This window comes from Homo sapiens, chromosome 13 (genome assembly GCF_000001405.40).
Source record: "Homo sapiens chromosome 13, GRCh38.p14 Primary Assembly".
NCBI classification, from domain to species: Eukaryota; Metazoa; Chordata; class Mammalia; order Primates; family Hominidae; genus Homo; species Homo sapiens.
In genome coordinates this window covers 40,453,942-40,466,810 of record NC_000013.11, presented here as the reverse complement: position 1 = coordinate 40,466,810, position 12,869 = coordinate 40,453,942, and the positions used below count along the sequence as shown (strand labels likewise).

The 12,869-nt window shown below is 44.2% G+C and overlaps 1 long non-coding RNA gene across 3 annotated transcripts in view; it reads left to right on the top strand.

The window, feature by feature from the left end:
* The window catches only part of LINC00598 (long intergenic non-protein coding RNA 598), a 133,873-nt gene that overhangs the window by 14,194 nt on the left and 106,810 nt on the right, over positions 1-12,869 (top strand). For 2 of the 3 annotated variants that reach the window (NR_024506.2, NR_024507.3), the window contains exons 4-5: positions 134-304; positions 6,405-6,529. This is a non-coding gene — a long non-coding RNA (long intergenic non-protein coding RNA 598, transcript variant TTL-B1). Of the gene's footprint in view, positions 1-133; positions 305-6,404; positions 6,530-8,142; positions 9,298-12,869 lie in introns of all 3 variants that reach the window. The other variant, NR_024505.2, reaches the window with a different exon arrangement.

Genomic DNA, 12,869 nt, shown 5'->3' with positions numbered 1-12,869 from the left:
GATTCAGGGCTCAGCTGCCCTCACCTAAGCCTATCTCTGGAATGCATTTTCTGCCTATCTTCTAACTGCCTGCTTCTGCATCGGTCTTCCCAACCAGATGATGATGGTGTCTTATTCATTTCTGCATCTCCAGATCCTAGTCCACTGCCTGGAACATGGAAGATGCTCCATAATTGTTTGCTGAAGGAACGAGTGATAACCAGAGAAGCCAGCTCCTGCTTCCTGATTAAGGCATGCAGTCAGGCCAGTGGGGAAATGGGCCTCATGGTGGAGCTTGCCTCTGCTGGAAGACTGACGGAGCCAGGTGCCCACACTTACATAAGGCCCTTTAGCTTACGCTCCCTGCCAGTCTCTGACAGGGAACCTGGGCATCACACGTAGTCTGTGAGAGGAGTATCTATACCAAGCTTGTCCAACCACAGCCTGCGGGCCGCATGCAGCCCAGGATGGCTTTGAATGTGGCCCAACACAGATTTGTGAACTTTCTTAAAACATTATGAGATATTTTTGGCAATTTTTAAATTTAGCTCATCAGCTCTCATTAGTGTTAGTGTATTTTATGTGTGGCCCAAGACAATTCTTCTTCTTCCAATGTGGCCCAGGGAAGCCAAAAGATTGGACAGCCCTGATCCACACTCTGGTGAAGACATCTCATTCAAGGACATTTTCAGTCCTCAGTTCCATGAAACTGTGGGGCATCCCGAGCAATGGCCCCAGTGAGAAAGAGAGTAATAAGCCCCGAATTTACCTTGACTCCAAAGCCCAAAGTTCCATCTTGAATGAATTCCTCTCCAAGGAGATGAGGCCATTGGCAGTCATCTCAAATTGCAATAGAAACACTTAGCGCAGTTCCCAAAGATCAAACAGTTTGATGATCAGAGCTCCCTTGTCCTGTTCCCCTGATATTTGCTGCTCTGTGGTGAAATATCTGACAGTCCACGGGTGGCTCTTGCTTCTGCCTGCTTATGGGGTGACAGGGGTATTTGTATCACTGGGAAAACAAGAGAAAAAGGCAAATAGATCACTGTGTCACTTATGTCTAGATCCTGGGGACAGAAACAATTTGGGAATGCTTAGGGGGTGGTGTGCACTTGTTAGCCTTCCCATCCAGGCCACAAAGCAGTCTCTCTCTGCACTTTTCTCCTCGAAGCATGGATTTGGATGGGTAGCATCATATCCCAACCAGGGCAGGCTGGGCGCGGTGGCTCACGTCTGTAATTCTAGCACTTTGGGAGGCCAAGGAGGGTGGATCACTTGAGGTCAGGAATTCGAGACCAGCCTGGCCAACATGGTGAAACCCCATCTCTACTAAAAATGCAAAAATTAGCCAGAAATCACTTGAATCTGGGGGTCAGAGCTTGCAGTGAGGTGAGATCGCACCACTGCACTCCAGCCTGGTTGACAGAGCGAGACTCTGTCTCAAGAATATACCAGGGCAGATTTCTGCTTTCTCCCAAGACGGAGAAACAGAGACCAGGTTCACTGTCTTACCTAAAACTGCCCACACACTGAGCAAGAGATATCAGCAAGACACTGGACTCCAGGCAATGAAAAACAGTGATCCTTGTGAGATGAGAAGCATGTGAGGTGAGCCTGGGCTTGCCCTGGCCTGCTGACTTGAGTTTGCTGACCACAGTGGAGGAGCGGGAAACTCAGGTAGAGCCCAGTACACTTCCTTAGCTGGGGAAATGGAGCTGGATGTCCAGGGAGAACAAGTTCTCAGGGCTAGCACAGGGCAGAGGGCTGGCGAGGAGAGCACTGACCACAGAGAAAAATTTGGTGGTCTGCAGCAGAGTTAGTAGAGTACTAATCAGCACTTGTGTGTGAAGAATCTGCACAAGGCCAGGGAAAGAACCACACGAAAGGATGAAAGGAAGAGTGCCCGGCACTCACACAGGGCTGGGAATAGTGCCTGCTTCCATAAGCCAAACTGGAAAATCTCATCATAGACAGGGCATTGGGTAGAGCACTCAGAAGGCTCTTGTCCTGGACATCATCCAAATTAATAGCTTCTGCTCTTTGAAAGACACTGTTCAGAGGATGAAAAGACAGCCTGCAGATTTGGAGAAAATATTTGCACAGCTTATATTTAATAAAGGACTTGTATCCAGAATATATAAAGAACTCTCAAACTCAATATTAAGAAAACAAACAACCGCATTGAAAAGTGGACACACGATTTTCACAGACACTTCACTAAAGAGATGCTCAACATCATTAGTCATGCAGTTAATGCAAATAAAACCGCAACGAGGCGCCGCTACACTCCCGTTAGGAGGGCGACAATTATAAAGACTCATCATGCCAGGTGTTGGCAAAGATGTAGACAAATGCGAACGCTCATGCCCTGCTGCTGGGAATGGAGAATGGTACAACAACTTTGGCAAATACTTGGGCAGTTTCTTAAACAGTTAAGCATGTGCTTACCATATGATCCAGCTTTTCCACTCCTAGGTATTAACCCAAGAAAAATGAAAGCGTGCATCCGTCTGTGTTACATTCCCAGGGCCGCCATGAAAAAGTGCCACAAGCTGGGTGGCTTAAAACAACAGAAATACATTGTCTCCCTTTTTTGGAAGCCAAAAGTGTGTGATCAAGATGTCAGCAGGGCCATGCTCCCTGTGAAACCTGTAAGGGAGACGCCTGCCTTGCCTTCTCGCAGCTTCTGGTGGTGGCTGGCAATCTTTGGCATTCTTTGTGTTGCAGCTGCATTAGTCCAGCCTCTGCCTTTGCTGTCATATGGTCCCTGCGTGTCCCCTGTCTTCACATAGTTGCCTTCTTATAAGGACATGTCTTATAATCATGTTGCATTAGGAGCCCTTCTACTCTGGTATGACCTCATCTAAACTAATTATATCTGCAAAGAACTTTCCAAATAAGGTCACATTAAGAGGTACTAGGGATTAGGACTTTCAGCATACCCTTTATTGGGGGGCACAATTCAACCCATAACACCATCCAAAGACCTGAGAATGCATATTTATAGCAGCTTTATTTATAATAGCTAAAAGGAGAAAAGAACCCAAATGGTCATCAACAAGTGAATGGATGAACCGACTGTAGTATATGTAGTCACGCACCACATAACCATGTTTCAGTCAACAATGGATCCCATGTACAATGGTGGTCCCATGAGCTTGTAATGGAGCCGAAAGATTCTGATTGTCTAGCCACCTAGCTGTTGTGACATCGTAGTGCAACATGTTACTCCCAAGTTTGTGGTAATGCTGGCGTAAACAAACCTACTATGCTGCCAGTCACGTAAAAGTATATCACATGCTGAATTAACCACATTTGCAGCAACCCGGATGAGATTGGAGACTATTATTCTAAGTGAAGTAACTCAGGAGTGGAAAACCAAACATCTTATATTCTCGCTGATATATGAGAGCTAAGCTATGAGGATGCAAAGGCATAAGAATGATACAGTGGACTTTGGGGACTTGTGGGGAAGGGTGGGAGGGGGGTGAGAAAAGACTACAAATATGGTGCAGGGTATACTGCTTGGGTGATGAGTGTGCCAAAATCTCACAACTCACCACTGAAGAACTTAGGTAACCAAATACCACCTGTTCCCCAATAACTTATGGAAAAAGAAAAAAAAGAAAAAACAGTATATCACATGCCGTTATATAGAGTAATTATATATATTATTACTATATATTACATAGTGTTTGATAATGATAATCAATAACTGTGTTACTGGTTTATGTATTTACTATGCTTTGATGGTTATTTTAGAATGTAGTCCTTCTACTTATTTTTTTAAAAAAAGTTAACTGTAAAACAACCCCAGGTAGGGCCTTCAGGACGTATTCCAGAAGGCGTTGTTATCACAGGAGATGACAGCTCCATGTATCTTACTGCCCCTGAAGACCTTCCAATGGGACAAGATGTGGAGGTGAAGACAGATATTAATGATCCTGACCATGTATAGGCCTAGGCTAATGTGTACATGTCTTATTTTTTAACAAAAATGTTTTAAAAAGTAAAAAATAGTTTTTCAAATAGGAATATTCAGAGAGAAAATATGTTTGTACGGCTGTACAATATGTTTGTGTTTTAAGCTAAGTCTTACTACAAAAGAGTCAAAAAGTGCAAATTTTTTTTTTTTTTTTTTGAGAGGAAGTCTCACTGTGTCGCCCAGGCTGGAGTGCACTGGTGCAAACGCGTCTCACTTCCACCTGTGCCTCCGGGGTCCAAGCAATTCACCTGTCTCAGCCTCCTGAGTAGCTGGGACTATAGGTGCATGCCACCAAGGCTGGCTAATTTTTTTAGTTTTAGTAGAAATGAGGTTTCACCATATTGGTCAGGCTGGTCTCGAACTCCTGACCTCAGGTGATCCACCCGCCTCAGCCTCCCAAAGTGCTGGGATTACATGTGTGAGCCACTGGGCCCAGCCAAAAAAAATTCTATAAAGTAAAAACGTTACAGTAAACTAAGCTACAGTTAATTTATTTCTGAAGAAAGAAACAGGCCAGGTATGGTGGCTCATGCCTGTAATCCCAGCATTTTGGGAGGCTGAGGTGGGAGAATCGCTTGAGCCCAGGAGTTTGAGACAAACCTGGGAAACATAGTGAGACCCCATCTCTACAAAAAATTAAAAAGATAGCTGGGTTTGGTGGTACATTCTGGTAGTCCCAGCAATTGGGGAGGCTGAGGTAGGAGGATTGCTTGAGCCAACTAGTTTGAGGCTGCAGTGAGCTGTGATCCTATGATTGTGCCATTGCACTCTAGCCTGGGTGACAGAGCAAGACCCCATCTCTTGAAAAAAAAAAAAAAGAAACATTACAAAAAATTTAGTTCAGCCTAATTGTACAGTGTTTATAAGTCTCCAGTAGTGTGTAGTAATGTCCTAGGCCTTCACATTCACTCACTACTCACTCACTGATGCACCTAGAAAAACTTCCAGTCCTGCAAGCTCCATTCATGGTAAGTACCCTATCTAGGTGCACCATTGAAAGTCTTTTATGCCATATTTTTACCATACCTTTTCTATGTTTGATATATTTTGATACACACATACCATTGTGCTACAATTGCCTATAGTATTCAGTACAGTAACATGCTGTACAGTTTGTAGCCTAGGAGCCACAGGCCATACCATATAGCCTACATGTACAGTGGACTCTACCATCTAGATTTGTGTAAGTACACTCTATGAAGTTCGCATGAGAAAATAATCTAATGATGCATTTCTTAGAATGTATCCATTGTGAAGTGATGCATGACTGTACTGTATATACATTAGAATACTACTCAACAATCAAAGGAATAAGCTATTGATATATACAAAAACATGGATGGATTTTAACATAATTATGCTGAGTGAAAGAAGCCAATCAAAAAGAGTAGGTACTGGCTGGGCACAGTGGCTCACACCTGTAATCCCAGCACTTTGGGAGGCTGAGGTGGGTGGATCACCTGAGGTCAGGAGTTCGAGACCAGCCTGAGCAATATGGTGAAACCCCATCTCTACTAAAAATACAAAAATTAGCTGGGCTTGGTGGTGTGCACCTATAGTCCCAGCTACTTGGGAGGCTGAGGCACGAGAATCACTTGATCTCAGGGGGTGGAGGTTGTGATGAGCCGAGATAGCGCCACTGCACTCCAGCCTGGGTGACAGAATGAGACTCTGTCTCAAAAAGAAAGAGTACATAGTATATGACTCCATTTATATGAAATTCTAGAGAATGCAAACTAAACTGTAGTGACTGAAAGCAGTGGTTACCTGGGGACAGTGGGTGAAGGTGGGAAGGAAGTACATATTCGTATCTTGATTGTGTTGATGGTTTCATGGATATATACTGTATTAGTTTGCTACTGCTTCTACAACAAATTACTACAAATTTAGTGGTTTAAATCTGGAGGCCAGAAGTACAAAACGAATATGGGAGCTAAAATCAAGGTGTTAGCAGGGCTGCTTCCTAATGGAGCTAGGTTCTAGGGGAAAATCTGTTTTCTTGCCTCTTCCAGTTTCCAGAGGTTGCCCACATTCCTTAGCTCGTGTCTACATCACATCGGTCTCTGCTTCATGGTCACCTAATTGTCTCCTCACTTTGACTTTCCTGTCTCTGTCTTATGAGGATGGGCCCTAGTGAGTAGATCAGGCTCAGTCGAGTAATCCAGGATACTTTCCCCATCTCAGGATCCTTAACGTCTTCACATCGGCAAAGTCCCTTTTTTAGTCCCTTTTATCATGTAAGGTAACACAGTTACAGGTTCCAGGAATTAGGACAGGGGTATCTTTGGTGGGGCCATTATTCACATATACATTTGTCAAAACTTTTTAACTGTACACTTTAATATGTGTGGTTTATCATATGTCAACTATACTTCAATAAATCTGTCAACAATATCAACTGAGTCTAATAAATTACTTTGATGTTTTAAAAATGCATCAGGGCTCTGCCTGCCACAATTCATGAGCTGGCCAGAGGTCTTTGGATTCCTCCCAGTCATTGCTGAGATGAGTGAGGATTGTTTCAGAAAATCAGGCCTCCTCCTGGGGAATGTGCCTCAGCTTCTGGTAAGTGACTTTTCTTTCTTCTTTTTTTTTTTTAATATGGAATCTCGCTCTGTCAGCCAGCCTGGAATGCAGTAGTGTGATCCTGGCTCACTGCAACCTCTGCCTCCCGAGTTCAAGCAATTCTCGTGCCTCAGCCTCCTGAGTAGCTGGGACTACAGGCATGTGCTACCATGCCTGGCTAACTTTTTGTATTTTTAGCAGAGACAAGGTTTCACCATGTTGCCCAGGCTGGTCTCGAACTCCTGGGCTCAAGAGATCCTCCTGCCACTGCGTCCCAAAATACTGGGATTACAGGCGTGAGCCACTGCGCCCGGCCAAGTGACTTTTCAATTCTGGCTTAGCTGGCATCACCAAGGCAGCTTAGAGGGATGCAGAGGTGGGAATGCTCTGGAGTGTAGCGTGCCTTCTGGATCTCTGTGCCAAGGAGTCAAGGAAAAGTGAAGCCAATATCTCCTCGAGAGGCAGAACCGTCAGAGAAGGGCCACAGCGTTCTGTGCCTGGCAAACTGGGCTGTGAAGATTTTGCTCCGATTGACTTCTTTTGCTGTACAGCTGATGGATTCAGTTTATGTTATGTTATTTTATTTTAGTGAGAGCTCTTAACATGAAATCTACCCTCTTAAAAATTTTAAGTGTACAATACATTATTAACCACAGGTACAGTGTTGTACAGGGATCTCTAGAGCTTCCAAGTCCTGCTTAGCTGGAACGTTTTGCCCATTGATCAGCAGCTGGCCATTTCCAGTTTACTTTTTCAGTTTAAATTCCTGTTTCCCTGTGGCCACCACCTACGAGACCCTGTATTCAAAGAGGCTAAAGGAATTTTTTTATAATCGTGACAATTGTATAATAAGGAAGAAAAGAACAAGGACTCAATATCTCAGCTTTTTGTCTCTAAACCCTGTGATCATCCTCCCGCTCCACCCAGCCGTATCCACGGAGACTTAGGAGCTGATGAGGTGAGGAAGAGACTTTTGGGTCCTTCTGTGGCACTGACACTTGGAAGTTCTCTCTTTCTCACCTGACACCTGTGGGGGCTGCCATCAACCTGGGCCTCAGAGACACCTCTGCTTCTCATCCCTCCATACAGGCAACTTTATTCCTGAGCAAGATACGCTGATTCTTCTACCAGAATGCTTAAGTCTGCGGGAAGTGGAGACTTAAAATTTTCTTCTCTCCTTCCCTCCCTCCCTCTCTCCCTCCCTCCCTCTCTCCCTTTCTTTTTTCCTACTTTTCTTTTTTGTCTTGCTGTTGTATCATTTTTAGTTGCCGTGGCATGTTGTGAACTACACTTGTCCAGACATCTAACCACCTACAAGGCAATGAAGAGACCCTTTACTCCCACGTCAGTAGCTACCGCAGCTGCGAAGCGAATCCTGAAAATGACCCTAGGATCGTGCCCTGCCAGTGAACTGTGCCTTCTGCCATGGACTCCTCCATGGGAGTGAGCTCGTGTTGCACTAGCTCTGCCCCTCTGTGCACAAGGTCCTCTGCCCACGGAAGGATTAAATTGTCTTACATCACCCTCTACTGAATAGCTTTCAGGCAATGAGGGGGTCCTGTTTGGTTCTTGCACCAGAGTTTGTTCAGCGTGCGTGTACATTTTCTTTTCAGGCTGCATCAGTGATTTGGACACCCCTTAAGGACAAAGAGCGTGGTTGGGAGAAGAGCGCTTTCCACCCCTCTCCTTCAGGACCATCCTGGATGCAGCTGCAACTCTGCTCTTGGCTGTCCTATGGCTGGCAATAGCTTTCTTGCTCTCTGGCAGGCAAAAAGCAGGGTGTGTGTGTGTGTGTGTGCATGCGTGCACGTGCTCATGTGTGCATGCACTGGAAAGCTAAGGCTGAGGCATCGAATGACAAGATCCCTGAAGTAAAAGGCTCCACAGCTGCTTACCCAACCCCTAATTTGCTGGGGCTGGGCTCCTTCTAATGGGCTGCCAGACCCTGGTAGGCACAAGGAGACTGGCTGTATATGTCTCGTGTCCCCTGGGCGACTGTCCCAGTGAGCAAGGACACCACCAACCTTCTTCCCCCCTACACCCTCCATAGGACAGTGAGATCCTGCATTGGATTATGCATGAGGTGTATACACTCTGCTTGTACGTATGTATGGAAGAAAGGATTTTGGCTTGAAACATTTTTTTTATTGGCAGAGACAGCACTTCTCTTAAAGGAAATGGCGGAATTTGCCAAACTAAGCCTCCAGAAGAAAATATAACGGAGAGTGTAAAAGAAATCCATGTTCAAACATTGGCAAGTGTGAAACATTCAAGATTTTTGTGTGAACATCACATTGTGGGAGCAAAATTAAATTAAGCTGGTCTCTGGCAAGCATTGGAATGAAAGCAGAACTGGAGCAAGCGGATGGTGCTTGGGCATTTTTTGCAAGAAGCCAAACAGAGCATAATCAGATGACAACCAGGGATCCCAAGGGCTGGGTTCTTTTCTTCATCTCATTAACACACAAGAACTTAACTGCTTTGGGTCCGGAGGGTCCCAAGGAAGTGCCAAAAGAACCTGAACTTTCTTCACCTCCACAACTCAATGACAGGCAGAGAAGGAATGAATTTCATTCAAAAAATATTTATTGAGCATCCTCAGAATATTTATTGTGCAAACTACTGTTCCAGGCACCAAAGGAGGGGATGGTCCCAGCTCCTTTATGGAGTCTGCAGTCCACAGACTTGAACTCAACTAACTAGAAGGAAAGGCAGCTCAGAGCAAGTGCCCTGCTGGAGATTGAAGCAAAGTGCCAGAGAACGTGGGGGTAAATTCTGATAGAGCTCTCTGTAAGTGGGGAAGGAGAGGGTGGGGCAATATGCCTCTCTTAGAAGAGAAGCAGGCATTTGAATGGAGATATTGAAGTAAGTGGAATTTGGGGAGGGGTGGGAGGAGAGGGATGGAACTGAATGCCAGAAGGAGTCAAACAGCAAACCAGAGACCTCACACACGCCCTGCTCCCTTCCAGGGTTCTCTTCGGTGGCCTAGTGGGGAAAGAGTACGGTCTTGCTGGTGTGCCTGAGGGGCCTGAACACCACTGGGAGGGCTGCAGCCCGGGCTTCTGTAGGGGAAGCCCTGTTCCTGCCCACTGACGACTCAGCCCATGCTCTGCTGTCTTCTGTGGCTTGGCATTCACACTGGCCTTGTGGATATGGTAGAATGGCACGTCCCAGAGTTGGGCAGTGCTGATCCGTACTCTGTTGGGTACCTGTCAACCTATGGTTGTCCTATTACACAGTGGCAGTGCTTGGAGCAGGCAGGGGCCAGTCCTTCCATCCCTCTTCCTTCTATAAAGACATAAGAGTTATCGTCACAGTGACACATAGTCAAATTTGAGAAGCAAGACTAGACTCCATTTCTCCCTTTGGTGGTTGACAGGAGGTGGTTTTTGCTCAGAGATTTTTAGCTGCATCCTCTGGCCCAGGGCTGTCTCCTCCCTACCATTTCTATAGTCCACAGAGAGTACTCTCCCTTGGAGCCTCAGGCTGCAGCTGTTCAGCACTCAGATGGGGACTTGAGCATTCCAATGGGGATTGCTGTTGCTGGGTAGTGATGTTAAGGACCAGCTGAGGATGATTTGCCCAGAGCAGTTGCTGCTGCCCACAATGGCTCCCCACTGGGTACCAGCTGTTCTCATTACTGGTGGCACACCTGAGTACCCCTGGGCACCTGCCAGTGCTTCCACATTCTGGCCAGGTGCTCCAGGACTGTGCACAGCATTCTCATTGCCAGTGTTGTGATTGCTGTTTGCCCAAAGTCATGAGCTCCGTAAACGTTGCCTGAGAAGGCTGAAGTTCTTCTGGGCATTTGCCTGATTAGTTCGTGGTGGGAGTATCTTACCTGGCAACCTAAAGCTTCCAGAGCAGTTTTTCTTAGAATGTAAAATTGCTTAATGAATGCTAGGATTTTAGTTGAGAAATATTTTGAATCCACTGGATCTCTCTGGGATGAATTGACATCTCTTTAACATTGACGAGGTTATTGATTAGCTTTCTCACTTTTTTTTTTTTTTCCCCCGAGATGGAATCTTGCTCTATTGCCCAGGCTGGAGTGCAGTGGTGTGATCTTGGCTCACTGCAGCCTTTTCCTCCTGGGTTCAAGTGATTCTCCTGCCTCAGCCTCCCAAGTAGCTGGGATTTCAAGCATGCACCACCACGCCTGGCTAATTTGTATTCTTAGTAGAGACGGGGTTTGACCATGTTGGCCAGGCTGGTCTGGAACTCTTGACCTCGTGATCCACCTGCCTTGGCCTCCCAAAGTGCTGGGATTATAGGTGTGAGCTATCGCACCTGGCCTGATTAGCTTTCTCTTTACATTCTTCTGTTAAATATATTTTTTCTACATGTCCTACACAGTTCCCCTTAAGTAAAACCTAGGTATTTTGTGTATTGTTGTTACTGTGAATTATATAATTTTTTTCAGTGTTTTCCAATTCTGTGTGTATGTATATATGTATAATAATACACAAAAATATAAAAGCTATTGTAGTTTTAGTTTTTTAAGTTTCTGTTTATGTATGTGTGTTTATACCTGTTTTTTTGTTTTGTTTTGTTTTGAGATGGAGTCTCGCTCTGTTGCCAGGCTAGAGTGCAGTGGTGCACTCTCGGCTCACTGCAACCTCATGCAATTCTTCTGCCTCAGCCTCCCGAGTAGCTGGGACTACAGGTGCCTGCCACCACACCCAGCTAATTTTTGTATTTTTAGTAGAGATGGGGTTTCACCATGTTGGCCAGGATGGTCTCGATCTCTTGACCCCATGATCTGCCTGTCTCAGGCTCCCAAAGTGCTGGGGTTACAGGTGTGCACCACTGCGCCTGGCTGTCTGTTTTGTTTTTACACAGGCAATTATATATTGGGATGAAATGTTATCTCTTTCCACTTACATGCATCTGTTTTGTTTGTTTGATATTGTATTGGCTAGAATACACAGACATATATGAATACATATAATATGAATACTAAATCTGGCCATTAGAACTGGTGTCTTTATTTGCTCCTTACTTATTTGTCTGTTGATAATGATAGGGACACCCATAACACTTTACTGTTAATTAAAATTTTCATCGTTGATCTAAGAAATAGTATTTGGAATGTTAATCTCCAACCTAACAAAAAGAATGCAAAATTAGAAACTGCAGCTCAATTTCACTTATAATAGGATATTAAAAATCTATGCTAAATAATAACTCTAGTGTAACAATGCAGCAAAATAATAAATGACCAAATATGCCTTATTTGTGAATGTACAGATAATTAAATATTAATAAATCAATTTATATAACACATCACCTCAAGGGCATAGGAAAAAAATGATAAGTATTTCAATATAAAACATTTAAGAACCATTCCTAAATTTAATAAAAAAGCAAGTATTTAGCAAACTACATAACAACATTATTCCACCAAAAAATGGATTTTCAAGAAAAATAAGAATTGGAAACTAATCCTATGAACTTCATTGAAAGACAGTTCTTTTATATTTAAATAATGGTGGAGACAGCAACATTACAGTTTCCCCTTTCTTTTTATTGATTAGTTTTAGCATTATTAAATAGCAACTAATTAAACTGAATAATTAAGAAATCAGACGTGAGATAAGAACTCAAATGTTATTCATATTTTAAAAAACTGAACATCTTTGTTGAACAAGTCTGGTATTTCTGACAAAATGGGATTTTATATCCTTTGAGAGACTTAAGGTCTCTCAAGTTGCTAAGTTTTCAACCAGGCCACTGGTTCCTTGATGAAAACCATAAAACCATTGGCAGATTTCTAAGGGAAGACCTTATCTTCAGGTTTCTGAAATAGAGTTAACATTCTCTAGTCTCTGAAAGACAGAGTTAGTATTTGTAATATTGGCTTTTTTATTTAATGAGAAAAAGAAGGGAAACAAACATTAGATAGGTTAGCTTTCTATTTCACCTACCATTTTTCTCAGAGGGAGCTGCCAGTCATGGTATTCGATATTGTTACCAAGAAAATCTTTGTGTGTGTCAAGCAGCATCCCTGTTTTCAGTGAGAGGTGACCAGATAAACTGGAAAGTATTTTATCTGTCTTTGTGACACAGATTATGTGGTTGTCGTTTTTCACCAACTTTCTTACTAGATCTTGAAAATGGTCTTGGTCCAGGCATGATAGCTCATGCCTGTAATCCCAGCAGTTGGGAGGCCAAGGAGGGTGGATCGCTTGAACCCAGGAGTTTGAGAACAGCCTGGGCAACCTGGTGGAACCCCGTCTCTACAAAAAATATAAAAATTAGCTGGGAGTGGTGGTATGCCCCTGTGGTCCCAGCTACTTGGGAGGCTGAGAAGGGAGGATCTTTTGAGGCCAGGGGGCGG